This window comes from Homo sapiens, chromosome 18 (genome assembly GCF_000001405.40).
Source record: "Homo sapiens chromosome 18, GRCh38.p14 Primary Assembly".
NCBI lineage: Eukaryota > Metazoa > Chordata > Mammalia > Primates > Hominidae > Homo > Homo sapiens.
Window position 1 is genome coordinate 32,119,615 of NC_000018.10, and position 27,681 is coordinate 32,147,295.

General features: G+C 38.7%; 1 protein-coding gene across 6 annotated transcripts in view, besides 4 other annotated features; it reads left to right on the top strand.

Moving 5' to 3' along the window:
* Nucleotides 1–11,947, top strand: part of RNF138 (ring finger protein 138) — a 39,688-nt gene extending 27,741 nt beyond the window's left edge. For 5 of the 6 annotated variants that reach the window (NM_016271.5, XM_005258286.3, XM_005258285.2 and 2 more), the window contains 4 exons: nt 3,904–3,960; nt 5,120–5,231; nt 7,079–7,186; nt 9,505–11,947. In NM_016271.5, coding sequence (NP_057355.2) covers nt 3,904–3,960; nt 5,120–5,231; nt 7,079–7,186; nt 9,505–9,573 — 346 coding nt within the window. In that variant the 3' untranslated portion in view covers nt 9,574–11,947. The remainder of the gene's footprint in view (nt 1–3,903; nt 3,961–5,119; nt 5,232–7,078; nt 7,187–9,504) is intronic. The other variant, XR_935225.3, reaches the window with a different exon arrangement.
* Nucleotides 12,438–12,638: a silencer, noted in NCBI's record as "peak3106 fragment used in MPRA reporter construct". NCBI's record gives its function as "represses an SCP1 promoter by STARR-seq MPRAs in K562 erythroleukemia cells {active_cell/tissue: K562}" and the evidence as "EXISTENCE:reporter gene assay evidence [ECO:0000049][PMID:32103011]".
* Nucleotides 13,408–13,608: a silencer, noted in NCBI's record as "peak3107 fragment used in MPRA reporter construct". NCBI's record gives its function as "represses an SCP1 promoter by STARR-seq MPRAs in K562 erythroleukemia cells {active_cell/tissue: K562}" and the evidence as "EXISTENCE:reporter gene assay evidence [ECO:0000049][PMID:32103011]".
* Nucleotides 15,198–15,398: a silencer, noted in NCBI's record as "peak3110 fragment used in MPRA reporter construct". NCBI's record gives its function as "represses an SCP1 promoter by STARR-seq MPRAs in K562 erythroleukemia cells {active_cell/tissue: K562}" and the evidence as "EXISTENCE:reporter gene assay evidence [ECO:0000049][PMID:32103011]".
* Nucleotides 17,608–17,808: a silencer, noted in NCBI's record as "peak3111 fragment used in MPRA reporter construct". NCBI's record gives its function as "represses an SCP1 promoter by STARR-seq MPRAs in K562 erythroleukemia cells {active_cell/tissue: K562}" and the evidence as "EXISTENCE:reporter gene assay evidence [ECO:0000049][PMID:32103011]".

Genomic DNA, 27,681 nt, shown 5'->3' on the forward strand with positions numbered 1-27,681 from the left:
AGTTTTGCCATGTTGGCCAAGCTGGTCTCGGCCTCCTGGCCTCAGGTGATCCGCCTGCCTTGGCCTCCCAAAGTGCTGGGATTACAGGAGTGAGCCACTGCCCCCAGCCTCTTTCTCATTTAAAAAGAAATGGATTAAAAGTTCATTTAGAACATGAGTAAATGTTTTATATCTTTTTCTAGTAAAACCTTATAGTTTTTGTTGCTATAAAAATGAGCCCCCTTTTTTTCCTGTTTGATAATCTAATTAGTTATTACTAGAGAGTAAGTTGATTTTTATGTTAATCTTGTTTTCAGCAGCTTTGATGATTTGTTAGTTGTAATAGTTCTAATCTGGCAGTTCTTATAATCTACCTGTTGATTCTTTTAGATTTATTATATAGAAAATCATTATGTTCTCCCATAGTTTTGTCTGCTTCTTTTAAACCTAATGTTCTATATAATACTTGATTTATTGCATTGAATAGGTTTTCTATTCAGTGTTAAATAGCAGGCACCTTTTCTTGTTCCTGATTTTAGTGGGAATACACCTATAATATTACAAATAAGTATAATATTTACTATAGTTTTTTAGCGTAGATCTTTTAGTTTTACAGTTTATCTGCCCCATGTCAGTATTACCCTGAATTTAAGGTTTCCCCATTAATAGTTTTACTCAAATCAGAATCATGTATGAAATTAAAAACATATATACATCTGGCTAGAGTTCCAGATATTCTGATATCTGGAGTCTAGGCATTTGTATTTTTAAAAAGCATTGTGCTTACTATTTAACATTGGATAGAGATCCTATTGAATGCAGTAAACCAAGTGTGATATAGAACATTAAATTAAAAAGCAAGACATAACTATGGGAAAATAATTTTTTGTTTTTGTTTTATTATGGAGATTGAATTTTATTGGTGTTTCTGTATCTGATAAAATCATAAGTTTTTAAAAAAATAATAATTTGCTGTCAGTAATTGATTTTCTATTGTTGAACCTATTCTGGGCTAAATGAGCAGGCATGATACAACAGCCTAGGCATGATACAAGGATGACTAGGAAGAACTAGAATGATGATGATGACAGTAATAGTGGAAAATTGAGAGTTATAATGGTAGATAGAAGGGAGAACGTGTTTAAAAAGGGCATTAACTTTGATATTAAATGCTTTAAATCAGAAGTTTTGTGATTGCATTACCCTATCAGTGAAAGAATTGAGTATGTACCCCCAGTGTTTGTGTTTATTTAAAACTGCATAGTACTGGCTGGGGGCGGTGGCTCATGTCTGTAATCCCTGTACTTTGGGAGGCCATGGTGGGTGGGTCACTTGAGGTCAGGACCAGCTGGGCCAACATGGTGAAACCCTGTCTCTACTAAAAATACAAAAATTAGCCAGGCATGGTGGCATGGCCGATAGACCCAGCTACTCGGGAGGCTGAGGCACGAGAATCACTTGAACCCAGGAGGAGGAGTTTGCAATTAGCCGCGATCGCGCCGCTGCACTCCAGCCTGGGAGACAAGAGTGAGACTGTCTCAAAAAAAAACAAAACAAAAAAAAAGCAGATCCAAATGGAAGATGTATGCCATAGGATAAAATAAAAATTTTTTCAATCCTGGCCAGGTGTGGTGGCTCATGCTTGTAATCCCAGCACTTTGGGAGGCCAAGGCGGGCAGATCACCTGAGGTTGGGAGTTTGAGACCAGCCTGACCAACATGGAGAAACTCCGTCTTTACTAAAAATACAAAATGAGCCGGGTGTGGTGGTACATGCCGGTAATCCTAGCTTCTCAGGAGGCTGAGGCAGGAGAATCACTTGAACCTGGGAGGCGGAGGTTGTGGTGAGCCGCGGTCGCGCCACTGCATTCCAGCCGGGGCAATAAGAGCGAAACTCCATCTCAAAAAAAGAAAAAAGTTTTAATCCTATTTTCTAAATATAAAAAGGACTGTTGCTGAAATTTTCATCCTCCCCAATGATATTATAGTTCTATAAACCTATTAGAAGTTGTTAACAGTATTTTTAAAGGGCACATTCAAAACCCAGTGATTATATTAATTTGGAAGATTTTTTAAGCTGGTTAGAAACATCTACCAATTTTAAATGTATAGATATGAGTTGTTTTTCTTTAATTGGTGACACATGCTGTTTTTGGTAACAAAATCATGTAACCACTCCCTTAATAAGTGCACTCTCCATAATTTGACTTTATTTTAAAGAGCAGGTTTTTAGTTCCAGAAAGGTACAAATAGTAGTTTAATAGTCTTCTATTTAGGTTATGTACTTTTTTTTCAGACTGAGTTTCGCTCTTGTTGCCCAGGCTGGAGTGCAGTGGCATGATCTTAGCTCACTGCAACCTCCGCCTTCCGGTTTCAAGCGATTCTCATGCCTCAGCCTCCCGAGTAGTTGGGATTACAGGCGCCCGTCACCACACCCGGCTAATTTTTGTATTTTTAGTAGAGACGGGGTTTCACCATGTTGGCTAGGCTGATCTCGAACTCCTGACCTTGTGATCCACCCGCCTCAGCCTTGCAAAGTGCTGGGATTACAGGTGTGAGCCACTGTGCCCGGCCTGGGTTATGTATTTTAACAGTGAAGTCTGCTTGCTCGCTTGGGCTATGTGTGGAGAGATAACATTGTTATCTTCACAGAAGTGAACTGAGTGTCATTGGAATGGTGCCTTTTCACTGTGTACACATTGTTGTATACACATTTATTATGAAAGTAAACAGAAAAGAAAGATCAGCTGCTAAGTAGATGATATAGTACTCCTTGTCTTTTTATAAAGGAAAAATGAATAACCAGTTTAAGTTCAACTTTTTAAACTCTGGCATTGAGATATAGAACCAACCTGTATTGTACAATTTTTCTTAGCCACTACTTATCTTATTACTGTGTTAAGATTTCTACTATTGAAAGACGTTGCTTTTATAAAATTGAGCACATTGGGCCAGGCGCGGTGGCTCACACCTGTAATCGCAGCAGTTTGGGAGGCTGAGGTGGGCGGATCACTTGAGCTCAGGAGTTCAAGACCAGCCTGGCTAACATGGCGAAACCCCGTCTCTACTAAAAATACAAAAATTAGCCGGTCATGGTGGCTCACGCCTGTAATCCCAGCTACTTGGGAGGCTGAGGCAGAAAAATTGCTCGAACCCAGGAGGCAGAGGTTGCAGTGAGCCAAGATTGCACCACTGCACTCCAGCCTGGGCGACAGATTGAGACTCCAGCTCAAAAACTAACTAACTAACTAAATAAATAAAATTGACCACATTGATCAAATTCTGTAGCACACAGGTGACGGTCCCTGTATGGAATACTTACTCTTCCCTCAGGATTCCTCTGATATTCCATGTGACACATGACTCTCTGGCATATGGTAAAAGTGGAGATGTTAAGTTGTTCTGTATATTAAATGTTAGTGAAGCCTGGTTTCTTTCCTTTCTGGAAATAAAATACAAACATAATGAACATTTACATATTTTCTTAAATTACTGCACTTTGGAGGGCATAACCTTATACCATGTCCTAGTTTGAAGTAAAAAAGTTCACAAATTCTTGAGTCTACCGTAGCATTTAAAACCTTACTAGTCTAGGTAAAGGTAGAGGAATGGGATTTAAGGTAATTCTGCAAAATTCTCTATACTTCTGTAACTGTGCATAAGTTAATTTTAAAGAACATAAATAAGAATCTAGTAAGCAGTCAATTTATTTAAAAGTAATTAATATTGTAATTATTTCATAGTTCAGAACCATTTGAAGTTCAAATTTTGTTTTTTCAAGGACCCAATAGGAAAAAGGTGTATTGAAGTTCAGACTTTTAAAACAAATTCAGACTAGTCTTCTTCATTAATGGTTCAAGATAATGAACCTTTAGTGTGTTTTCATTACTTTGAGGTATTAACTTTTTCCCCTGTGCTTCTTAAGCAATAGGAGTGAAACATCCACATCTGATAACACAGAAACTTACCAAGAGAATACAAGGTAAGCTTTTGAAAAATCCTGCCACTTTAGCAAGTAATATTATATTTATCACTTATCAAATAGCTTTTTAAATTAAACTTTTTTTTTTTTTTTTTGAGACGGAGTCTCACTTTGTTTTCCCAGGCTGGAGTGCAGTGGTGCGATCTTGGCTCACTGCAACCTGCGCCTCTCAGGTTCAAGTGATTCTCCTGCCTCAGCCTCCCAAGTATCTGGTATTACAGGTGCCTGCCACCACGCCCGGCTAATTTTTGTATTTTTAGTAGAAACAGGGTTTCACCATGTTGGCCAGGCTGGTCTCGAACTCCTGACCTCAGATAATCCACCTGCCTTGGCCTCCCAAAGTGCTGGGATTACAGGCATGAGCCACTGCGCCTGGCCATAAATTAAACTTAAAAAAAAAAAAAAAATCAGTTACATCATTAGGCATAGTGTTTGAAGTTAGCAGTTTAGAAATAGAAAATGCAGTTACTGCTTTTAAGAATCACATTAGGTTAGAAGAGTTTAGTTATTCTCTTTCACTGTGGTCAGGTTTCTTCCACACACGATTCAGGTAAAGTTGTCTGTGTTGAACTGTCCCTTCCTGAAATTCAGAAGTATTAAAACTCAGTGATGCTTGATCCTCAGAATGTTTTCGAGTATTTCATTCTCATGATCAGTGCTTTTGTTTTTTCTTTTCCTTTGAATTTTGGATGTTGGATTCCTAGGGCCTGGTATTTATTAGAGATACGATATTGATGGAAGTCTTTTAGAAGTTTTAAGTTCCTAGATAAAAGGTTTGCAAAATGTGGAATACTACAGAATATTAAAAATTTTCAAGGGACATACAGTGACAGCTATTGGCATCAGAAAACAACTACAATTAAGTTTGGACCTAACTACATAATATATGGAGTCAGCTAGGTTTTTGTTTTTGTTTTTGTTTTGGCCTAGAGGTGCCATGAAAAAATTTATTGAGGACACTAAGAGTACTGTAAACTGAGATTGGGAACCTCTGTAATGCATCATTTCCTGAATACATATGTTCAAAATGAGAGAATCTTTGAATAGTCTAATAATTATAACTTTTTTAAAAAATGTATAGTGATTCCTCAAAAAATAGGAGAGCGTTATTTTTGTGTTATTCTGAATTAAGTATGTTTCACTTAAAATTGTTTTATAGTTCTTCTGGTCATCCTACTTTTAAGTGTCCCCTGTGTCAAGAATCAAATTTTACCAGACAGCGTTTACTGGATCACTGTAACAGTAATCACCTATTTCAGATAGTTCCTGTGGTAAGTACATACGTTTGAGACAGTCTTCTGCTTAGAATAAAACATGCTGTTCTATTTATTTCACTTCATGTATGCAAGAGAAAGTAGTTGATTTATATTTGGTTGGGGCATTATCAGTAAGGTAGATTTTTGTCAACAAAGGATTGATGACTGTGAAGCAAAATGAGATATTTAAAATTGCAGTAACTCTCATTATAAAAAGGGAGATGCATAGTGTGAGGTAATATAGCACAGTCTGGAGAAGAGTGAAGTAATGAAAGATGAACCGGGAACTCATTCCTGCGCAGTAGCACAACCTGTCTATTGAGGCCTCAGTTACTTGCTCTGTAGATGGCAGACAAGTAGATCTAGTCAGGTAGATTGCTGTAGGTGAAAATACCTGTAAGTAAGAATAAAGTCAGTAGGTATTTTTATTGTTTTCTTGCAGCATATAGTATGTGAATGCATAAAGCAAGGAAGGAAAAGACTTAGACTTTGTATTTGATGCCTACATATTTTTTGACATTTTGAGGGTATGTAAGAAAATGGTGAGAGCTTTTTGATAATGAGGGAGATAGAGCAGAATTCAGGATTCCAACATATAATGATCCTAGAAGTGTTTCATAGGTAAGTTATTTCAGCTGTGAATGGAACAGGAGAAACTGAGCTGGGAGAGAGATTTCCCTTTCAGCTGAACATTTTGATATATAAATAATTGTCTTCAGAAAGGAGAATAGGAAGGAAAATGTTATCAATAAGAACTGTAGATATTTCTAAGCTGTTTTAGTGAGTATGCTAGGAAAAGTTGTGAAAGAATGTGCTTCAGGACCGGGCACGGTGGCTCATGCCTGTAATTTAGCACTTTGGGAGGCCGAGAGGGGAGGATTGCTTGAGCCCAGGAGTTCGAGACTAGCCTGGGCAACATAGTGAGACCCTGTCTATTTAAAAATAAAGAAAATAAAAAGAATATGCTTCAATAACCATTGAGGATGACCTTAAGCTCTCACATACCACCTAAGAAGGTGTACTACCTACTTTGCTTATTAGAATGGGTTCAGTTATGCTTAAATAGACAAATACAGTGCCAAAGATGTTCCAGGAAATCTCGCTCATATTTAAGATTTTACTTAGTTTTATATTGGATTACCAAATTTTTATTCATTTCTGCATAATATTCGATATATCATAAACTTTGGCTAGAGTTTAATTACTGAAGGTTTTTTGTGTGTTATTTCAGTTATTTATCCATTCAGTTTTTAAGATGTACTTCATTTAAACGTAAGGATATGGCTGGGTGTGGTGGCACATGCCTTTAATCCCAGCACTTTGGGAGGCCAAGGCGGGAGGATTGCTTGAGCTCAGGAATTTGAGACCCAGCCTGGACAACAGTGAGACTGTGTCTCTAGTTTTAAGAAAAGAAAAGAAAAACTAAGGATACAATTTAAAGTAAATTTTCCAGTTTACTTCATTTTTATTTTACTTACAAATGAAATAAAACTAATAATAATTATATGGTTATTGTATGGATCAAATGAGATAATATATTGGATATGTTGCAGGCAGCCAGTTAGTGATAACTGTCATTACAGTTGGTATTATTAAAAGCTAGATGTGGTTTTTCTGTTGAAACATTTGTGTAATAAGAGATTTAAGGAATAGAATGTCTAAGATTTCTCACTGTGTTAGATTAATGTCATTTATCTAAGGTAATTGATTGGGAAATGATCTAGTCATGGAACTTGGCCTTTAAAAATGCTTCTCACGTAGATATTTTTGGTAACATATCCCTGTGTTATTTTAATACTGTCAATTGTATAATATTTCATTGTTTTTATTATTTTTTGTTTAAAACAATCTGTTTCTTATAGACATGTCCTATTTGTGTGTCTCTTCCTTGGGGAGATCCTAGCCAGATTACCAGAAATTTCGTTAGTCATCTAAATCAGAGACATCAATTTGATTATGGAGAATTTGTGGTAAGTGAATTCTTCAAGATTAAGAAAGTACTGTTTAAATATTAAAGTTAAAATAACTTTTTTGTAATCGACTTAAATTTTGTGGCAAGCTGTTGTATCTTACTGGATGGATTTAGAGCAAGTTCTTAGGTTTTTAATAATACTGGTGAACTTTAGCTTGTAGAAATGGTAAGGTAAAAATTGAGTTTACTCTCCACCTCCTGTACTAGAGAGAGAATTAATAAGAGTAACAGCAAGCACCCAGATTAACAAAATGATGATTTACATGAAAACTCTGTCAAGATTTAAGGGAAAATTGTACCTACAAGAGAAGTAAAATTGGTACAACATATGGAGGATGTATTTCTCATGTAGTATAAGTTGCTTGTATTATGCTAGAAATCTTAGATTTCTCAAATCTAGCATGTAAGACACAACGTTTTTAAAAATGAGGGAGCTTAGTTATCAGGCAAAGCCAGGTTACAAAGAGACTAAGAGTGTAAGAGAAGTTATATAATGTAAAAATGAATTCATAAAGCAAAATGGATTAATTTGTACTTCTAAATGTGTGATATACTTTTTTAATTAGGTGAAAACCTGTTTTATTAATTATTAAATTGCATTTTATTCAACTTCAGTTTAATCAAAACTTTATTTAAGATTAGTCCTGACAAAGAATGGCTATTTGTTTTCCAGTTTAGGTAAGCAGAGTGACATGAACAAAATATACATTTTTGTCTGCCTTCCAGTGTTGAAATTACATCATTCTTGTTAAATGGTTTTTAAATTTTGTAGAATTTGCATTATTTAGCCAATTTCAAAATAAAAATTCAAATATATGTAAAATTTAGGTGCGCTTTATTGCTTTAGCAATTTTATAAAGTAATTCTAGATTATTATTAAATTCTCATTGTAAGAAAGATTGCTATGTAATGTATTTGGAAATACAAAAATTTGTGAACCACTTTTGATCTAATTGTCAAGTTGTTTTATCTTGCCATAGAAAAGTAGGTAATCTAGGCAGGGCTTGGTGGCTCACACCTGTAATCCCAGCACTTTGGGAGGCCGAGGTGGGTGGATCACAAGGTCAGGAGATTGAGACCATCCTGGCTAACACGGTGAAACCCCGTCTTTACTAAAAATACAAAAAGTTAGCCGGGTGTGTTGGCAGGTGCCTATAGTCCCAGCTACTCGGGAGGCTGAGGCAGGAGAATGGGATGAACCCGGGAGGCAGAGCTTGCAGTGCGTGAAGATCACGCCACTGCACTCCAGCCTGGGTGACAGTGCGAGACTCCGTCTCAAAAAAGAAAAGTAGGTGATCTAATTATTTCAGATTGTCAAATAGAGGCCTTGATTTTAAAGCGAAATGCATAGGGCATAAAATTGATAGCAAATATAATTTTTTAAATTAAGGAGTAGTTTTATAACGATTGAATAAGCTGTAGGCTTCATGTTATGGTTAAGAATTTATTACTCATCTGGGCATGATGGCTCATGCCTGTCATCCCAGTACTGTGGGAGGCCGAGGCGGGTGGATCACCTGAGGTCAGCAGTTCAAGACCAGCCTGGCCAACATGGCAAAACCCTGTCTCTACTAAAGATACAAAAATTAGCTGGGTGTGGTGGTACGTATCTGTAATCCTAGCTACTTGGCAGGCTGAGGCACAAGAATTGCTTGAGCCCAGGAGGTGGAGGTTGCAGTGAGCCAAGATTGTGCCACTGCACTCCAGCCTGAGTGACAGAGCCAAACTGCCCCCCAAAAAATTTCTTACTCAACTCATAATTCAATAAATGCTTGTTTTCTTAAAATCAGTTTACTGTCAGATATTTGGCATTATTTTCTAGAGATGACACATTTATGATTGTGTGTTATGATTAACTTCAGTTTTATTTTTCATTTTTTATTTTTATTTTTTAAAGTGACAGTCTCCCTGTGTTGCCCAGGCTGACCTCAAACTCATAGGCTCAAACTGTCTTCTGCCTCAGCCTCCTGAATAGTTGCAACTACAGGCGCATGCTTACCCAGCTTTCCAGTTAACCATATTTTTTATGAATGACTTATAAAGGCATTATAACACTCAAATTTTGTTCTGTGATGATCCTCTCTGTTTGTTTGTTATTCTTGAACAGTTACAACTGAACTTAATGTCTTATTAAAGTTCAGGTATTCAAATCTTGTATCTTAAAAGATACTGTTATATATGTTTTACATAACTGTCCTGAGTGTGTGTAATGTGTGTCAAGATGTGTAATGTGTATCAAGATGTCTAATGTTTTGGGCAAAGTATTAGAGTAGTTGAATATGTTTTTCCTGTTGACATGAATGTTATTGTTTTTAGAATCTTCAGCTAGATGAAGAAACCCAATACCAAACTGCTGTTGAAGAATCTTTTCAAGTAAACATCTGAAGGCTGTAGACATCTCTGCATCTTTGTACCTGCAAGTGCCATCTTTAAGGGGGAAACTACATGAAGTCACCGTTACAGTAACTTGATGTGTATATTAATAAAAGTAATTCAGTCATTTTAGTTTTTGATTGAAAATAAAGGTAGGGCTTCTAAAAACTTCATCATCTTGATAAGTTAAAAAATGAAAGTTATGACATTAGCTTTAAAGGTGTAAAAAAGATGTTTCACTAATGTAACGGTGAAAGAGAATCCCTGTTGTACTTTATCTTTTTGTAATATTATTTTTGAATTTTTCATTATTATGTTGCTTTTGAAATTTGATGCATTCCTCCCATTTACTTTATTATTGTACACATTTAACACACAGTAGCAAATTTTGAACGATGTGATTGATATAACCTAACAAATCTGAGCCAGTTATTATTAGAGTTGCAGAATAGAAACTTGAAGTGCTAAATGGAATAATCCAAAGGAAATTTTTTAAATGCAGGTTCTAGCTGAAAAATTCAACTATAAGAAAATTGTATTTATATAACATTTACTATTTTTGAAGACTAGTGAGATTTCTGTAATAATTTTAATTCTTTAAAAAGTGAAAGCTTGTTGTAAAGATATTTTCTTTTTGTTATTAGAAGGAAATACAAAGAGAAAAATTTCTTTCTTTCATGGGCATTTGATAATTTCAGTCTTTGACTGATTTGTAAGCCTAGAATATACTAAGCTGAATAACAGCTCTTTGGCCTCAGAATTTTCAGTAGCCAGTATTTCTGATTAACTAAGTTGAAACTCTTATTAGAAACTTTCAGTTGGTGATATTGTATTCTAGAAGATATAAATGAGAGGTTTGGCTTCATCTCAGTTTAGAAATTTATTCAAAGCTAAAGATGTATATATACATATACTTTTGTGTGTATATATACACATATGTGTGTATGCAGTTTGTCAGGTTATATATAGAATTTCTATTAAGGATTTTTTAAATGGACAAGCAATAGGGGGTTGAAGTGTTTATCTGATTTGTTTAAAATTTTGTATATCACCAAATTTTTAAAAAGTGATAGTCACAGTGCTAAGTTATCTAGTTGGCTACTATTACACCTTAAAAATTGAGTTTACACACACACAATTACCTGTTTATATGGTGCTCATTTGTTATTCTCAAATATAATGTGTGACCGTGATATAGTGAGAAAGATTCTACCAACCACTGTTTCACTACTTTTTAGTTAAAATTGGGTATGTTCTTAATATTCATTAGTGAGAATCACAAAGTATTTTGTAGAAGGCCCAAATCACAGAATAAAGGACTAAGAGTGGATTTGCTGACATTCCATACTAATATACATTGTTTATGCTTTCTTTAAAATAACTAGAAGAACATAAAAGAAAGAGAATCTCAGAAGTAGTTTGCTGCTAATATATACATATATTGTATAAAAAGGTATATTTTGGTTTTGTTAAAACCCTTGTTGACTTTTCTACACTGAACATTTTTTTTAACTTGATTTAATAAAAATGTTAATTTTGGAAGTGCAGTTTTGTAAAAACCTTTTTCAGTCAAACAGTAAAGACTTTATTTATGGATTGTAATAACAACCACAAGAAAAGCCATACATCTTAATGAACATACGCCTTTGTTCTGTCATTTTAAAGAGTGGTGTTTACTATGTGTGTGCTTGAGCATTTTCTTTCAGTTACATGGGTGTAATTTAAAAAACAGCTCCTTTTTAAGACTTTTGACCATAGTGTTTTCCAGTTTAAAGCAATAACTTTCATAGTTTCTTTCAAAGTTTAATACATCCAATATGTCAAGTTAAACCATTCTGGGATTTGCAAAGTTTAATACATCCAATATGTCAAGTTAAACCATTCTGGGATTTGCAAAGTTTAATACATCCAATATGTCAAGTTAAACCATTCTGGGATTTGGGAACTTCTTTAAAGGAAAATTGTAGTAGAGGTCATCTTGATGGAATTGTGTTTTAAAGTTTTGTGAATGAGTTAAATATCATTGATAGTCTTGTGTGTCTCACATATCAGCTTTTTCATAAGGAAAATACTTTATTTGCTTTTATCTGAGAATTTCTCAGTATGAAAATGATTGTTTAAAATTTCCCCTCTTTTTGTCAGTGCATTGGGAATAGGGATAGACTTTACAGATTTATGGAAATTAAATTTATGGGGAAAAGTTTATTTTTAATATTACTTATAGCTGAGTCAGAATTAAAGGAGGGAATTGTATTGATACTCCAATACCTAAATTTCACAATACCACTTAGGAAAGCTATTTCAACAAATTACAGTTTTATTGTTAAAACAGAGTCTTATTTGAGATGTATTGCTTTATTTTTCAATTAAAAGTGGTTTTCTCCTACTTGTGTGTCTAATTAAAATTTGTCTGGAGGCAAACATTTAACTCTCATAATTCACACTGAAAGACGTAGGAGATAACCCATTATTTTGCACTTAAAAAAGTGGATAAGAAAAAGCTACCACATGCTGGTGCTATATGTCAGATTTAACTTTATAAACCTATTTATTTTTATCCATTTCAAATGTTAATCACCTTATAAAGCAATTTTATGAAGTGTCTGCGGAGCAAGATTTTCAAGCCCTGTTAGCAGCTAGGCAGAAAGCTTATTTGCTTAATAAACACTTTTATATGGAGATAGATAGTACTTTTAAGTAAGATACCAGGGTTATAAGACTATGTTGCCAAATACAATGTCATATACCTTGTATGGGTTGCTTGGTAAGTATTAATTATGATCTTCAATACATCATAACTTCTACAGAAACCCCTTAACAGCTGCTACTCAAACCCCTTGTAGAAGCGTGACTTTTTAGCATACTATGTAGAAAAGGTGTGACCCAGAAAACATGTAAATACAGATACTATAAAACTCAGACATATAAGTAAAGCACTCATTCCATGATATCACTTAGTGTGTAACATAATTATCTGTGCGGTACAGTTTTGAAAAAAGATGGGGAAGGGAGGTGAGTTAAAGGGGGATACAAGAATCTCAGGAAAACGGGTGTCACAGCCTGTCTCCCTGCTTCAATAGCAGTGGTCCAGTCCTGGGATTGAGAAAGATGACATACACTGCATTCTTCTCCCAATATGAGTAAAATGGGTGTATTCCATTATGTACTTTACTGACAAACAATTTAAACTGTATTGTATGATGTCCTATATAACGAATTCTCCCAGCCTGGGCAACATATATCCCCATCTCTGCAAGTAATCAAAAAATTGGCCGGGTGTGGTGGTGTGCACCTGTAGTCCCAACTACTCAGAAGGCTGAGGTGGGAGGATGGCTTGAGCTGGGGAGGTTGTGGCTTCAGTGAGCCGTTACTGTGCCACTGCACTCCAGCCTGGATGACAGAGCAAGACCCTGTCTCAACAAAAAACAGGAATTTTTTTTTTTTTTTTGAGACGGAGTTCTCTCGTTGCCCAGGCTGGAGTGCAATGGCATGATCTAGGCTCACTGCAACCTCCGCCTCCCAGGTTCAAGCGATTCTCCTATCTTAGCTGGGATTACAGGCACACGCCACCGTGCCCAGCTAATTTTTTGTATTTAGTAGAGACAGGGTTTCACTATGTTGGTCAGGCTGGTCTTGAACTCCTGACCTCAGCCTCCCAAAGTGCTGGGATTACAGGTGTGAGCCACCATGCCCGGCCAAAAAACAGGAATTCTTAAGATTGTAATAGTGAAAGACATCCTGCAGAATTTAAGGACAAGCAAGGCAGGGGAATAAATATGGAAGACTGGTAAGCAGATGAGTCACAGCCGTTTGGTGGAGGATATGGAGAGGAAGAAAATAGGATGTGAGGGAGATTTCGTATTAGTCTAAGTGGGCAATAATGGCACATGATACTGAAAGTGCACAAAGTGAACAATAACCTGAAGTAATCCATGCTCAAGTCAAGAAAAAAAAATTGCTAGAATCTCCTAAGTCTTTTTGTTTCTACTTCCAGTCACAACTAAGTATTATCACGACATAACTTCTAATACCATAAATGGGTTTGTGTTAAGTGGAAGCACACAGTAAATATTATTTTATATTTGGCTTTTATAACATTGAGATTTTTCTGTTTTTTTCTTGCATTTACAGCAGCAGTGACTTGTCCTTTGTCCAGAACAGAAAAGCTTAGTCTTCTAAAGTTATATTTTAGTATTTGTAAAAGTTGTGTTAAATGTATTACAAGTGATTCTTTTATGTATGCTGGTACCTGGGGATGCCAAATGTAGGTAAAAACAAAACAGGCTGGTCTTCCCCTCATAACTGAGGAAGGAAGTGAAGAGTCTAGCCAAATGGCCTTCCGCTGCTCTTACCTGACTTTCCATGAGCTGTGTATGGGATGTTCTATCTTTTTTTTTGGGACAGTGTCTCACTCTTACCCAGGCTAGAGTGCAGTGGTGCAATCTCTGCTTACTGCAACCTCCATCTCCCAGGTTCAAACGATTCTCCTGCCTCGGCCTCCTGAGTAGCTAGGATTACAGGCGTGCGCCTCCATGCTCAGCTAATTTTTATACTTTTAGTAGAGATGGGTTTCACCACGTTGTCCAGGCTGGTCTCAAACTCCTGGCCCTAAGTGATCCGCCCACCTCAGCCTTCCACAGTGCTGGGATTACAGGTGTGCGCCACCGCGCAGGGCCTGGATGCTCTTTTATCTTTTGGGGGGATGGAGTCTCGCCCTGTCACCCAGGCTGGAGTGCGGCGGCCTGACTTCGGCTCACTTCAACCCCTCCCAGGTTCAAGCGATTCTCCTGCCTCAGCCTCCCGAGTAGCTGGGATTACAGGCATGCGCCACCACACCCAGCTAATTTTTATATTTTAGTAGAGACAGGGTTTCGCCATCTTGGCCAGGCTGGTCTCAAACTCCTGACCTCAGGTGATCCGCCCACCTCAGACTCCCAAAGTACTGAGATTACAGGCGTGAGCCACCGTGCCCTACCTCGGCCTGGATGTTTTCTTTTCAAGGCATTTTTGTAGGTACAGAATTTTATTTTTCTATTTTATTTTTTTGTTAGGCTCCCTCAAATCATGGGAAATAGGAGATTTTAATGAGTATTTAAGGACAATATTTTCTGGGATAGGATCTGAAGCCACCAATAGAAACAAAAGCGGTTGCAGCAGATACAGAAGGGTGTTGGGTAGATCTTTGCCAGAAGACCAAGCATTTAAAACAACTGAGCCTACTTTCTTGGACCAGACAACCTGTTTTTGATGATTCTGCTGGTTGCTACTTGTGTAGTTTGGACACATTTCGTAGCCCTTTTTACCTCTATGGTTTGTGAGGATTGAATTAGTTAATATTACAAAGAGCTTGGAACAGAGCATGTTAACGTTTATTGTTACTGTGTATCCAATACAAGTCAACCTATTGTATTTATATCTGTCAGGTCCTACTTTAGTCTAAAATCCTGTCAAGACAGTCTGGATTTTTTTTCCCCCTTAAGGATATAGAGTCTAAAGGGTTACTAGTCTTTATTTGCTGGCCTCAACTGTTTGTATTTTTTGTAGAGAGAGGATTTCGCCATGTTGCCCAGGTGGGTCTCAAACTCCTGAGTTCAAGTGATCCTCCTGCTTTGGCCTCAAGGCCTCGATCCCTTGAACCTAAACTCCTTGTCTCAAGGGATCTTCAGCCTCATGAGTAGCTGAGACTGCAGGTGTGCGTCATACCTGGCTTGCTAGCCTCAACTTTTGTGGGAAGATCTGAGACACTGTTTTTGTTTCCAAGAAGTACAAATACCCCACACATGAGGAATTCTGAATAAAACATATCTTAAAATAATTGCGCCGTTGTACTCCAGCCTGGGCAACAAGAGCAAGACTCCTCAAAAAAAAAAAAAAAAAAAAAAAAAAAAAAAAAAGAAAAAATAATAAAGAACAATCAGCTGATGATCATACTTCTCAGTCGAATGTATACCTAGGATGTATGATGAGAAATTTACTTAACCCACCCATTTTTAAACATGTTTGGTTCTTTAATAATTAGAATGAAACTATTGTCTCTAGGAAAAAAATTATTTTGCAACATTAGCAAATCACTTGACTAGCTTACATATGATTATCTAGGTTATTTGGTAGTATCAAAGGGTGTAAAATAGTTTTTCTGAGCTTTTTGAAAATTTTATGAGTAATGGTTGAGAATACTACTCTATACCAACTGTTTCTGTTTCCAGATAGAATTGATATATCACAACAGCATTTTCTGTGTTTATGAAGTAATTTTAGGTTTACTTAGACTCACACTTTTCAAACTTCTTGCCTCAGGAGCCCTTTACCCTTAGAAATTATTGAGAACCCAAAAGCAGTTTTGTTTTTGTGAATATAGTCATGCGCCACATAACGACATTTTGGTCGTTGATGGGCCACATATGCAATGGTGGTCCCTTAAGATTATAATACTGTATTTTCACTGTACCTTCTCTATGTTTAGATATGTTTTCTATGTTTAGATATGTTTAGATAAACTGTGTTATAGTTCCTTACAGTATTCAGTATAGTAACATGCCATACAGTTCTGTAGCCTAGGAGCAATAGGCCACACCATATAACCCAGGTATGTAGTAGGCTTATATCATCTAGGTTTGTGTAAATATACTCTGTGATGTTCACACAATGAGGAAATCACCTAATGGTACGTTTCTCAGAACATATTCCTGTCATCAAGCAATGCATGACTGTATTTATCACATGTTTGTCACATAGGAAACTGATAAAGTGGACCAGGCCCAGTGGCTAATGGCTGTAATCTCGGCACTTTAGGAGGCAAGGTAAGAGTATCCCTTGAGGCCAGGGGTTCAAGAGCAGCCTGGGCAACACAATGAGACCCTGTCTCTTGAAAAAAAAAAAAAAAAAGGGGGAATTGACAAAGTGAAAACATTAACATTTAAAATAATAAGCTCATTACATTATCATTAACATTTGTAATGGAAAATAACTTGCAAAAATATTCAGCAGATCTCTCAAATATCTAGGTTAATGGAAGACAGCTAGATTGTTCATATTGTTCATATATGCATCAGCATTCAACCTATTGTGGGTTATTTTGCTTAAAGGATATGAAGATAATCTAGTCTCATACAGATAATGTTGTTGGAAAAGGGAGGAATATTTTAATAGCCTTTTAAAAAAGATAACTGAGTTCCAGTAAGGTGGCTCATACCTGTAATCTCAGCACTTTGGGAGGCCGAGGCGAGCGGATGGCTTGAGCTCAGGACTTTGAGACCAGTCTGGGCAATGTGATAAAACCCTGTCTCTACAAAAAAAAAATACAAAAATTAAATGAGTGTGGTGGCATGTGCCTGTAGTCCCCGCTACCCACAGCAGCTGAAGTGGCAGGTTCTCTTGAGCCCAGGGAGGTTGAGGTTGAGATTGCAGTGAGCCATGATTGTGCCACTACACTCCAGCCTGGGTGACAGAGCAAAACTCAGTTTCAAAAAAAAAAAAAAAAAAAAGTTGGCTGGGTATTCTTACATACTGCATCAAAACAAAAACAACAAATAGTAACTTTTTTTTTTTTTTTTTTGAGATGTAGTTTCGCTCTTGTTGCCCAGGCTGGAGTGCAATGGCACAATCTCAGCTCATTGCAACCTCCGCCTCAACCTCCACCTCCCAGGTTCAAGCAATTCTCCTGCCTCAGCCTCCCGAACAAATAGTAAATTCTTAAAAGTTAGTTGTAATCCGAACCACATCAAACTTTTTGTACACTTAACAGGAAAATCCATAGATCTATCCTGTATTTGAATGGACCTTTTACCTGCACATGATTGCATAGCATTATGTGATGGTCAGTCCAAAAGATGGTGCACTGAGTTATGGAGATCTATCAAATATTTACTCACTTTTTGTACTGTAGCAATTATATTAATATCACCATGGATCTCATCAAGTCTTTAAAAATTGGGAAGCCAGGAAGCTTACAAAACTCCGATTTTTGCTTAAAACCTCAAATTTTATCTTTGACAAAAAATGGTTGTTACCTTGAAGTGACATGCTGATTTTCTCCCTCCAAATACCCACATATAAATATTTTGCCAGTCACTCTTTTAAGTAAAAGTGGCCATGCCATGAAAAAAAAAAAGTTGGTTGAGGTCATAACTCAATATAATTTGCACAAATATATTTCCTTGAGACAACCATTGTACCTCCTTATGCAGGAAATGTACTTTATGTGTCTTCCCCCTTTTGTTATCCAGAATATTAAAAAAGGCTTCTACTTAAGAGTCAAAATTTTTTTAGTTTTTTTTTTTTTTTTTTTTTTTTTTTAAGACAGCATCTTACTCTGTCACCCAGGGTGGAGTGCGGTGGCATGATCTCAGCTCACTGCAACCTCCACCTCCTGGGTTCAAGTGATTCTCGTGCCTCAGCCTCTGGAATAGCTGGGATTACAGGCACAAATCACATGGTTATAAGTATTTTTTTTCTATTTTAGCCATTCAAATAGATATATAATGACATTTCATTGTGGTTTAATTTTTTATTCAGTAATAGCTAATGGTATTTGACATCTTTTAGTGTGTTACTGGCCATCTCTCTTTAGTGAAATGTCCTTTTATATCTTCTTATCATTTGCCCATTTTCTAACTGGATTATTTGTTTTTCTACTGCATATTTTCTCCCCATCTGTATCTGTTGTTTCCTTATTCTTATAGGGACATAAGGGATATAAAAGATGTCAAATGCCATGATCTATTACAGAATAAAAATTTAAACCACAAATGAAATGTCATTATATACCTATTTGAATGTTTAAAATAGAAAAAATGTTCATAATACTAAATGCTGGCAAGGATGCGGAGAAACTGGGTCTCTCATATACTGGATCTCTCATCTTACAGGGAAGAAGGAAATAACAGATACACATGGGGAGAAAATATATAAGTTTTTGATAAATTAAAAACTTTAAGAGAACAAAGTTTTTAATATTCATGAAATCCAATTAATTGATTTTAACTTTTATGGATTATACTTTTGGTATCATACCTAAAAATTCTTTACCTAGTCCTATGTCCTGCAGATTTTTTTCTGTTTTCTTCTAAAATTCTTTATAATTTTATGCTTTACATTTAAATCTACTCCATTTAGAGTTGATGTTTATATAAATGGTATGGTTTAGGCTGACATTATCTTGTTATTGCTTATCGTTCTCCAATTAATCCAGCACCATTTGTTGAAAACACTATCCATCCTGCATTGAGTTTGCTGTTGCAACTTTGTAAAAAATCATTTGAGCATACATATGTGAGTTTCTTTTGGGGTTCTCTGTTCTGTTCCATTGATCTATGTGTCTTATCACTCTGTCACAGGGTGAACCACAAAGCTGGGGCTTAGCCCAGAAGGCCAGGCAGGTTCTTTGCTTTGCACAGGAAAGAATTCAAGAGTGAGCTGACAGAGTAAAGTGAAAGCAAGTTTATTAAAAAGTAAAGGAATAAAAGGGTGACTACCCCATAGGCAGAGTAGCAGTGTGGGCTGCTTGACTGGCTATACTTATGGTTATTTCTGGATTATATGCTAAGCAAGGGATGGATTATTCATGAATTTTCCAGGAAAGGGGTGAGGAGTTCCTGGAACTGAGGGTTTGTCCCCCTTTTAGAGCATGTAGGGTAACTTCTGGATGTAGCCATGGCATTTATAAACAGTCATGGCACTAATGGGAGTTTACTTTAGTATGCTAATGTATTATAATTAACATATTAGGAGCAGTGAGGATAGCCAGAGGTTGCTTTGGTCACCATCTTGGTTTTGACAGCTTTTGACTGGCTTCTTTATTGCATCCTGGGTTTTTTTTATTTTTATTTTTTTCTGTAATACCAAAGTGTTGGGATTATAGTGTGAGCCACTGTGCCCAGCCGCAAATTTTCTTTCTTTCTTTTTTTTTTTTTTTTTGAGACAGAGTCTCGCTCTGTCGCCCAGGCTGGAGTGCAGTGGCACGACCTCCGCTCACAGCAAGCTCTGCCTCCCGGTTCGCGCCATTCTCCTGCCTCAGCCTCCCGAGTAGCTGGGACTACAGGTGCCCGCCACCATGCCCAGCTAACTTTTTGTATTTTTAGTAGAGACGGGGTTTCACCGTGTTAGCCAGGATGGTCTCAATCTCCTGACCCATGATCCGCCTGCCTCAGCCTCCCAAAGTGCTGGGATTACAGGCGTGAGCCACCACGCCTGGCTACCCAGCCACAAATTTTCTTAAAGTTCAGATTTATTTCAAAAGAAATAAATGCGTGAACATTTTTTAAAAAGTACTTTTATTAAGGAAAGAAGCTTAAATTATGTCTTTTGAAATGTAAACCATGTCCTCAACTGACAAGCAGCAAACTGCAGCAGATTATGAAGAAGATTAAGTGGAGCAGAGATGATAGTTTAGCAAAAAAACACCAAAAAAAAAAAATAATAGTTAATTCTGTGGAACTAGTGCCATGGAGCTGAGAGGAGGACTTTCTGAGCTAGTAGGCTTTTACAGAGTGTTTTCAGGCTGTGGCATTGAGAGGTGACAGCGTGCTGGCAGTCCTTACAGCCCTTGCTCGCTCTGGGCGCCTCCTCTGCCTGGGCTCCCACTTTGGCGGCACTTGAGGAGTCCTTCAGCCCACCGCTGCACTGTGGGAGCCCCTTTCTGAGCTGGCCAAGGCCGGAGCCGGCTCCCTCAGCTTGCGGGGAGGTGTGAAAGGAGAGGCGTGGGCGGGAACCGGGGCTGTGAGCGGTGCTTGCGGGCCAGCGTGAGTTCCGGGTGGGCGTGGGCTTGGCAGACCCCGCGCTCGGAGCGGCCAACCGGCCCCACTGGCCCCGGGCAGTGAGGTGCTTAGCACCTGGGCCAGCAGCTGCTGTGCTCAATTTCTCGCCAGGCCTTGGCTGCCTTCCCACAGGGCAGGGCTGGGGACCTGCAGCCTGCCATGCCTGAGCCTCCCACCCTCTCCGTGGGCTCCTGTGCGGCCCAAGCCTCCCCAATGAACCCTGCCCCCTGCTCCACGGCACCCAGTCCCATCGACCACTCAAGGGCTGAGGAGTGCGGGCGCATAGCACGGGACTGGCAGGCAGCTCCACCTGCAGGCCCCTGCGGGATCCACTGGGTGAAGCCAGCTGGGCTCCTGAGTCTGGTGGGGACCTGGAGAACCTTTATGTCTATCTCAGGGATTGTAAACACACCAATCAGCACCCTGTGTCTAGCTCAGGGATTGTAAATACACCAATCGGCACTCTGTATCTAGCTCAAGGTTTGCAAACACCAATCAGCATCCTGCGTCTAGCTCAGGGTTTGTGAATGCACCAATCGACACTCTGTATCTAGCTAATCTAGTGGGGACGTGGAGAACCTTTGTGGCTAGCTCAGGGATTGTAAACGCACCAATCAGCACCCTGTCAAAACAGACCACTTGGCTCTACCAATCAGCAGGATGTGGGTGGGGCCAGATAAGAGAATAAAAGCAGGCTGCCCCAGCCAGCAGTGGCAACCCGCTGGGGTCCCTTTCCACAATGTGCAAGCTTTGTTCTTTCGTTCTTTGCAATAAATCTTGCTACTGCTCACTCTTTTGGTCCACACTGCTTTTATGAGCTGTAACACCGCGAAGGTCTGCAGCTTCACTCCAGAAGCCAGCAAGACCACGAACCCACCAGAAGGAAGAAACTCCGAACACATCCGAACATCAGAAAGAACAAACTCCAGACGCGCCACCTTAAGAGCTGTAACACTCACTGCGAGGGTCCGCAGCTTCATTCTTGAAGTCAGTGAGACCAAGAACCCACCAATTCCTGACACAGCATGATAACATTCCATCCAAGTGATTGCCATAAAACGACTTCATAATTCTATAGTCTAGTCTTACCAAAAACAAATGACATAAAATTCTGTCGTTTTATAACGTAACTTTGAATGCATGAGTCTCTTACAATATCAGCAAAATTTTACTTCATTTCAAGGTAACATCCTCATTTGCTTTGATCATTCCTCATGGCCTGGTTTTAGGATCACTTCTCTTCCTGGTTTCCATTGTCTGGCCTCAGTTCAGTTTTGTCAACGCCCTAAATTGTTGGCTTCTTAATTGCAGTCCAGTGCTTTAAATTGTTTTCCCATCAAAGCAAAATAATTTGGTACCATTATGTGCATTGTATTAGAAACCACATTTTAATCAAAATTGCTCAAGACTACATGACCACTGATGGCAGTTTATGTCTATCATAATCCCTAAAATGTTTTTCATAATTTAGGACATTACTTTAAAGACTATTAAATTTCATTGTTTTTAGTTTTGGCTATGGGTCTCACCTATAAGATGTTTTGAGTTTTTATTTTGGCACTCAACATATTAGCTACCACTCCCAGATTCATGTGCAGACTAATAAGCAAGGCCTTCACTTTATTGCACAGGACCAAGGTGAGCCCAGGAACAAATCATTAAAGGCTATTTTAGACTGACATTCATCTATTAATCAATAATCTTTGAGTGTAGTTATTAAACTATTACTTTAATATTTATGCTTAAATGTTCTAGTCTCCAGCCCTTGCATAGCATATTGTTTGCAATGATAACAATTCTTAATCTTCTGGCCCATTAAATGTGTTAAAATGTGAAATGTATTTAGTTTGATTTGACTTAGTGAATACACCTTGAGTCCTTTAATTACTATTTCATTTTCTAATTGCTTACAAGTCAGATACTCTAGAATTTTGTCGAACAACATGATTCTCACTGGTAATTGCCAGAGCATGCATTCTTTTTCTTTAGAAAGATAGGTTGGCTGGGCGCAGTGGCTCACACTTGTAATCCCAGTACTTTGAGAGGCTGAGGCAAGTGGATTGCTTGCATCCAGAAATTCGAGACCAGCCTGGGCAACACCAGCCTGGGCAACACGGTGAAACCCTGTCTCTACAAAATGTTTAAATATATATATCACTAAAAGGTGACCACATGTAAAATGTTGTATATGTTTCACTGGTGATAGGTGTATTATTGCAAAAAAGCTGGAAGTTTTTGTTTCCCCCTCTTGTTATTTGGGCCATGAATGTTGGGGGACATTTCTAATAAAAGTATCTCTTTCAACAAAAAATCAGGAGCAGTTTGATCCAGATAGGGTTTCTTAAGTACTGACTGGCTGGGGCTTATCAAGGGCCTATGATATCATGAGTATGAGACTCCTCAGTACAAATATGTCTAAATTGAAGTGAAGATTCTGTTTGCAGCCTTATTTCTTTCATATTTCTCATAAATACCCTGCTGCTTATTTTGTAATATGAGCTAATATCACGATAAGGAAGCAAGTTGAGGCCAGCTGCAGTGGCTCATGCTTGTAATCCTAGCGTTTTGGGAGGCCGAGGTGAGCAGATCACTTCAGCCTGGGGGTTCGAGACCAGCCTGGGTAACAAAGTGAGACTCCATCTCTACAAGAAGCCCAAAAATTACCCGGGTGTGGTGGCGAGTGCCTATGAACCCAGCTACACAAGGAGGCTTAGGGAAGAAGATTGTTTAAGCCCAGGAGGTTGAGGCTGCAGTGAGCCAAGATCACACCATTGTACTCCAGTCTGGGTGACAGAGCAAGACCCTATCTCAAAAAAAAAAAAAAAAAAAAAAAGCAGCAGCAGCAAGTTGATGTGAGGCTTGTGAAATTTATAACATAGGAAAGAATGTATTTATTTATTATTATTATTTTTTGAGACAGAGTCTCGCTCTGTCACCCAGGCTGGAGTGCAGTGGTGCGATCTTGGCTCACTGCAACCTCTACCTTCCAGGCTCAGGCAATTCTCCTGCCTCAGCCTCCTAAGTAGCTGGGATTACAGGTGTGTGCCACCATGGCTGGCTAATTTTTGTAATTTTAGTAGAGACGGGGTTTCACCATGTTGGTCAGGCTGGTCTTGAACTCCTGACCTCAGATGGTCTGCCCACCTTGGCCTCCCAAAGTGCTGGGATTACAGGCGTGAGCCACCGCACCTGTCTGAATGTTGGTTTGTTTGCTTATTTATTTATTTTGAGATGGAGTTTTGCTCTTGTTGCCCAGGCTGGAGTGCAGTGGCATGATCCCGGCTCACTGCAACCTCCACCTCCCAGGTTCAAGTGCTTCTCACCTCAGCCTCCCAAGTAGTTGGGATTACAGGCGCCTGCCACCACACCCGGCTAATTTTTGTGTGTGTGTGTGTGTTTTTTTTTTTTTTTTTTTTTTTTTTTTTTTTTTTTTAGTAGAGACAGGGTTTCACCATGTTGGTCAAGATGGTCTTGAACTCCTGACCTCAGGTGATCCACCTGCCTCAGCCTCCCAAAGTGCTGGGATTATAGGCGTGAGCCACCGTGCCCGGCCAATGTCACGAATTTTAAAGTGACTATTTTCATCATCATCATAGTTTGATATTCAATCCACCTTGAGTATGTGGCAGGGCTGGTCTGTATATCTTGGGTTGTCTGTGAGCCCAGGTTCAGAAAACAAAATCCTGAGATAAATCCAGAGGCCAGTGATGGTGTGACCAGTTCAAATGCACTGAGCCAAGAGGGAAGATGAAACTACAGTGAACTGGATGGGGGATGGAGACGCAAGTCAACAGAAACAGACACAGAGCAGGAAAAGAGGAGACGAAGTATGAGTATGCTGTGGTTTGGGTTTGGTTCAGGCAACTCTTAGCATGAATAGATCTTGGAAGACAGGTATCCCTTCTGTTCTTTTCAGGCTACCCACAGGTTGGATGTGAAGATTTAATGAGGAAGGTTTTCAGCAGTTTTTGTCATTGTCATGAGGTTTTCACTCTCATCCTTATACTAGGATGAAATTTATCTGGACCTAGAGATATGAATTCATCTGAAGCAGCAAGTTACTTTTATTCCTGTATCTTGAGCTTCAATTCACTATTAACTATGTTATGCCACTCTTCCTTAGAAAAGATGCAAACTAAGGTTTGTAGCCTGAGAACCTTAATGCTGAAAAGCCCCTTATTTCCTAGGCGGGGTTCTCATAGCTAGTTAGTACTTGTTTTACTGTACTACTCAGTATTGGGTTGAAATACTGCTTTCTCTTGGCCTAATGTGGCATCCTTCTCTCCTGGTTCTCCTCACATTCCTCTCTACTTCTTCTTTGCTGGTTCACCTCCTAAGATTGGGCATGTAAATGTCAGAGTTCTTTAGGGCTCAGTACTGTCTCTCCTCTTTTACTTTATCTCAAGGTCAAGCATTTTCATCCGTCATTGTGCATCAGTGATCACATTCATCCAAGCGTCAAGTTACCATCTTTATGGTAACCAGTCTCAAATTTTCATCCGCATCTGTCCTCTGCATATCCACCTATTTGTTCAGCAGCACCAACGATCACACAGGTGTCTCAAACTCATAACAGCTAAGACCAAACTTATCTTCTCTTCACATCTGGTCTTCATATTCTGAAACTCAGTAACAGTAGTATGTTTCAGCACTTGCTGAAGCCAAAAGCCTAGGAGTCATCCTTGTCACTTCTGTTTTCCATATATTACACATCTAATTCATTAATGAGTCCTGTTGATTTTATTTCTTAAGTCTCTTTTGTCTTTCTTCCTATTCACTGTCATTCCACTACCCAAAGATATCATCCCTACTTCTGGACTGCGATCAGTATGCCTGAATAGGCTTGTGTTCTCTTTAGTATATATCATCAAATTTCTTACGATTGTTTTGGTTAAAATCATCCAATGATTTCCATTGTTCTCAAGAGAAAAAGAAACAAATGCTCTTAATTTGGCCAACAAACCTACAGGGTCTGCATCTTACATAACATTCCCAGCCTCATTTATCATCACTCTTCATACTAGAGACACGGGCGCTATTAGCCATAGATTCTGTTCCTCAAAGTTGCTATGCCCATTCCCACCAGAGGGTCTCCATACATGCTGCTTTCTCAACATAGAACACCACCCTCACCCTCCCTTCTCCATCTAGCTGTAATCTGTTCGTCTGAAAGCTCAGTTCTCACCTTACTTGCTCAAGGCAGTCTTGATGACCCAGCTCTCTTCTGGTCCTGCTGTACCCTCCCATAGCACCTGTTCTGCTTCCTAGCATTTAACCCAGTTACAATTAAATTAAATAACTTCTTGCCAGTCTCCCCCAGAATGTAAGCTCCATGAGGACACAGCAGCAATGGACTATTCAGTGGGGGAGGCATAGCAATGCCCAATACACAGTAGGAATCAACTGTGATTCTGCATCGTCAATTGTCAGAATCTATATCCCCACCTCTGATGAGGCCTTCCTGTAACGCCCTGGAGGTCCATAGTTTGGAAGTGTTGGAGAATTAACCAATCTCTTTTATCAACACTCCCCTCCATCAACCCTCAATCAATGCCCAATGGAAGTTGATGTATAAACATCCTACCTCTCTGGCCCCTTTTGTGGAACAACTCTGAGGTCTGTATTTTACTGTTTCCCTGTCTCATTTTCCCCTCCTCTACAGGTGTTGGTCCTCTTTCTTTCTTTCTTTCTTTCTTTCTTTCTTTCTTTCTTTCTTTCTTTCTTTCTTTCTTTCTTTCTTTCTTTCTTTCTTTCTTTCTTTCTTTCCTTCCTTCCTTCCTTCCTTCCTTCCTTCCTTCCTTTCTTTCTTTCTTTCTTTCCTTTCTTTCTTTCTCTCTCTCTCTCTTTTGTTTTTTTACAGGATCTTGCTCTGTTGCCAGGCTGGAGTACAGTGGCATGATCATAGCTCACTCTAGCCTCAATTTCCCAGCCTCAAGTGATCCTCTCACCTCAGCTTCCTGAGTAGCTGGGACTACAGGTGCTTGTCAGCACGTCTGGATAATTTTTGTATTTTTCTGTAGAGGCAGGGCCTCACTTTATTGCCCGGGCTGGTCTCCAACTTCTGGGCTCAAGTGATCCTCCCACCTTGGCCTCCCAAAGTGCTGGGATAACAGGTTTTTTTCTCTTTCCTTCCCTCCCTCCCTTCCTTCCTCTCTCTCTCTCTTCCTTCTTTCTTTCCTTTTTTTTCCCTCTCTCAGTCTTTCTCTCACTCTCTCTCAAAGTCTTGCTCTGTCACCCAGGCTGGAGTGCAGTGGCATGATCATGGCTCACAGCCTCGACTTCTTGGGCTCCAGCAATCCTGAGTCTGTGGGACCACAGGTGCACAACACCACACTCAGTAATTTTTAATTTTTTATTTTTTGGAGAGATGGGGCCTCACTATGTTGTCCAGGCTGGTTTGGAACTCCTGGCCTCAAGTGATCCTCCCTCCTCGGCCTTCCAAAATGCTGGAATTATAGGCGTGAGCCACTGTGCTCAGCCTCCTACAGGTGTTTTCTGTACCTCCAAAATAAATTACTTACACTTGTATCCTTGTCTTAGTGTCTACTTGTTGTGGAACCCAAACCAAGACACACACTAAGTCAGTCTTGGAGCATGGTGCCTGTCCCAGCAGCATCAGCATTACTTGGGAACTTGTTAGAAAATCAGATTCCCAAGTCCTATCTCAGTCCTCTGAATACAGAAGTTCTGGAGCTGAGGTCAGCAATCTTTGTTTTCATAAGGCCTCCATGGGATTCTCATGCAGGCAAGGTTTGAGAACCACTGGAGTAAATGAATGACATTGTATCTTCTGCTCCTAACAGAAACCTATCAGTCTTTTTTTCTCTTGTTCCAAAAATTTCTCTAAAAGGTTAAAATATAAAATCTTCAGAATTTTTCAAGAGTCTTAGATATCTGGGGTACTAACCTTCTTGAAATGATTCACTGCTATTTATCCTTGTATACATGTCTCTTTTATAGACTGATTTTTTATCTTGTTAGAATGGCAGTTACTTTAATTTCTTCAAATATTTCCCCCTTTCCTTCCTTATTGGGATCAATTTATAATAACGTTGTTAGAATATCCTCTCTACTAACTTTTTCTTTTTAATATCTCTTGCCTAAGGATCATATTACCTTAGTCTGAACTTGTTGAAATATGACCTTTTTTTTCACTAATTCATGAGTCTTCCTTCAAAAAGAAATTTTCTTTAAATAATTGCCTTTCCAATCTGTTAAGACATTAAATTCAGAATCCTTTTCAGGTGTACCTAGTTTTATAATTTCCTTTATCTTAGGAGATACTTATTTCCAACAATGTTACATATTTTCAGTATGTAAATCCCAATATTTCAATATTGCTTCTCTAATGTAATCTCTGTGTCTT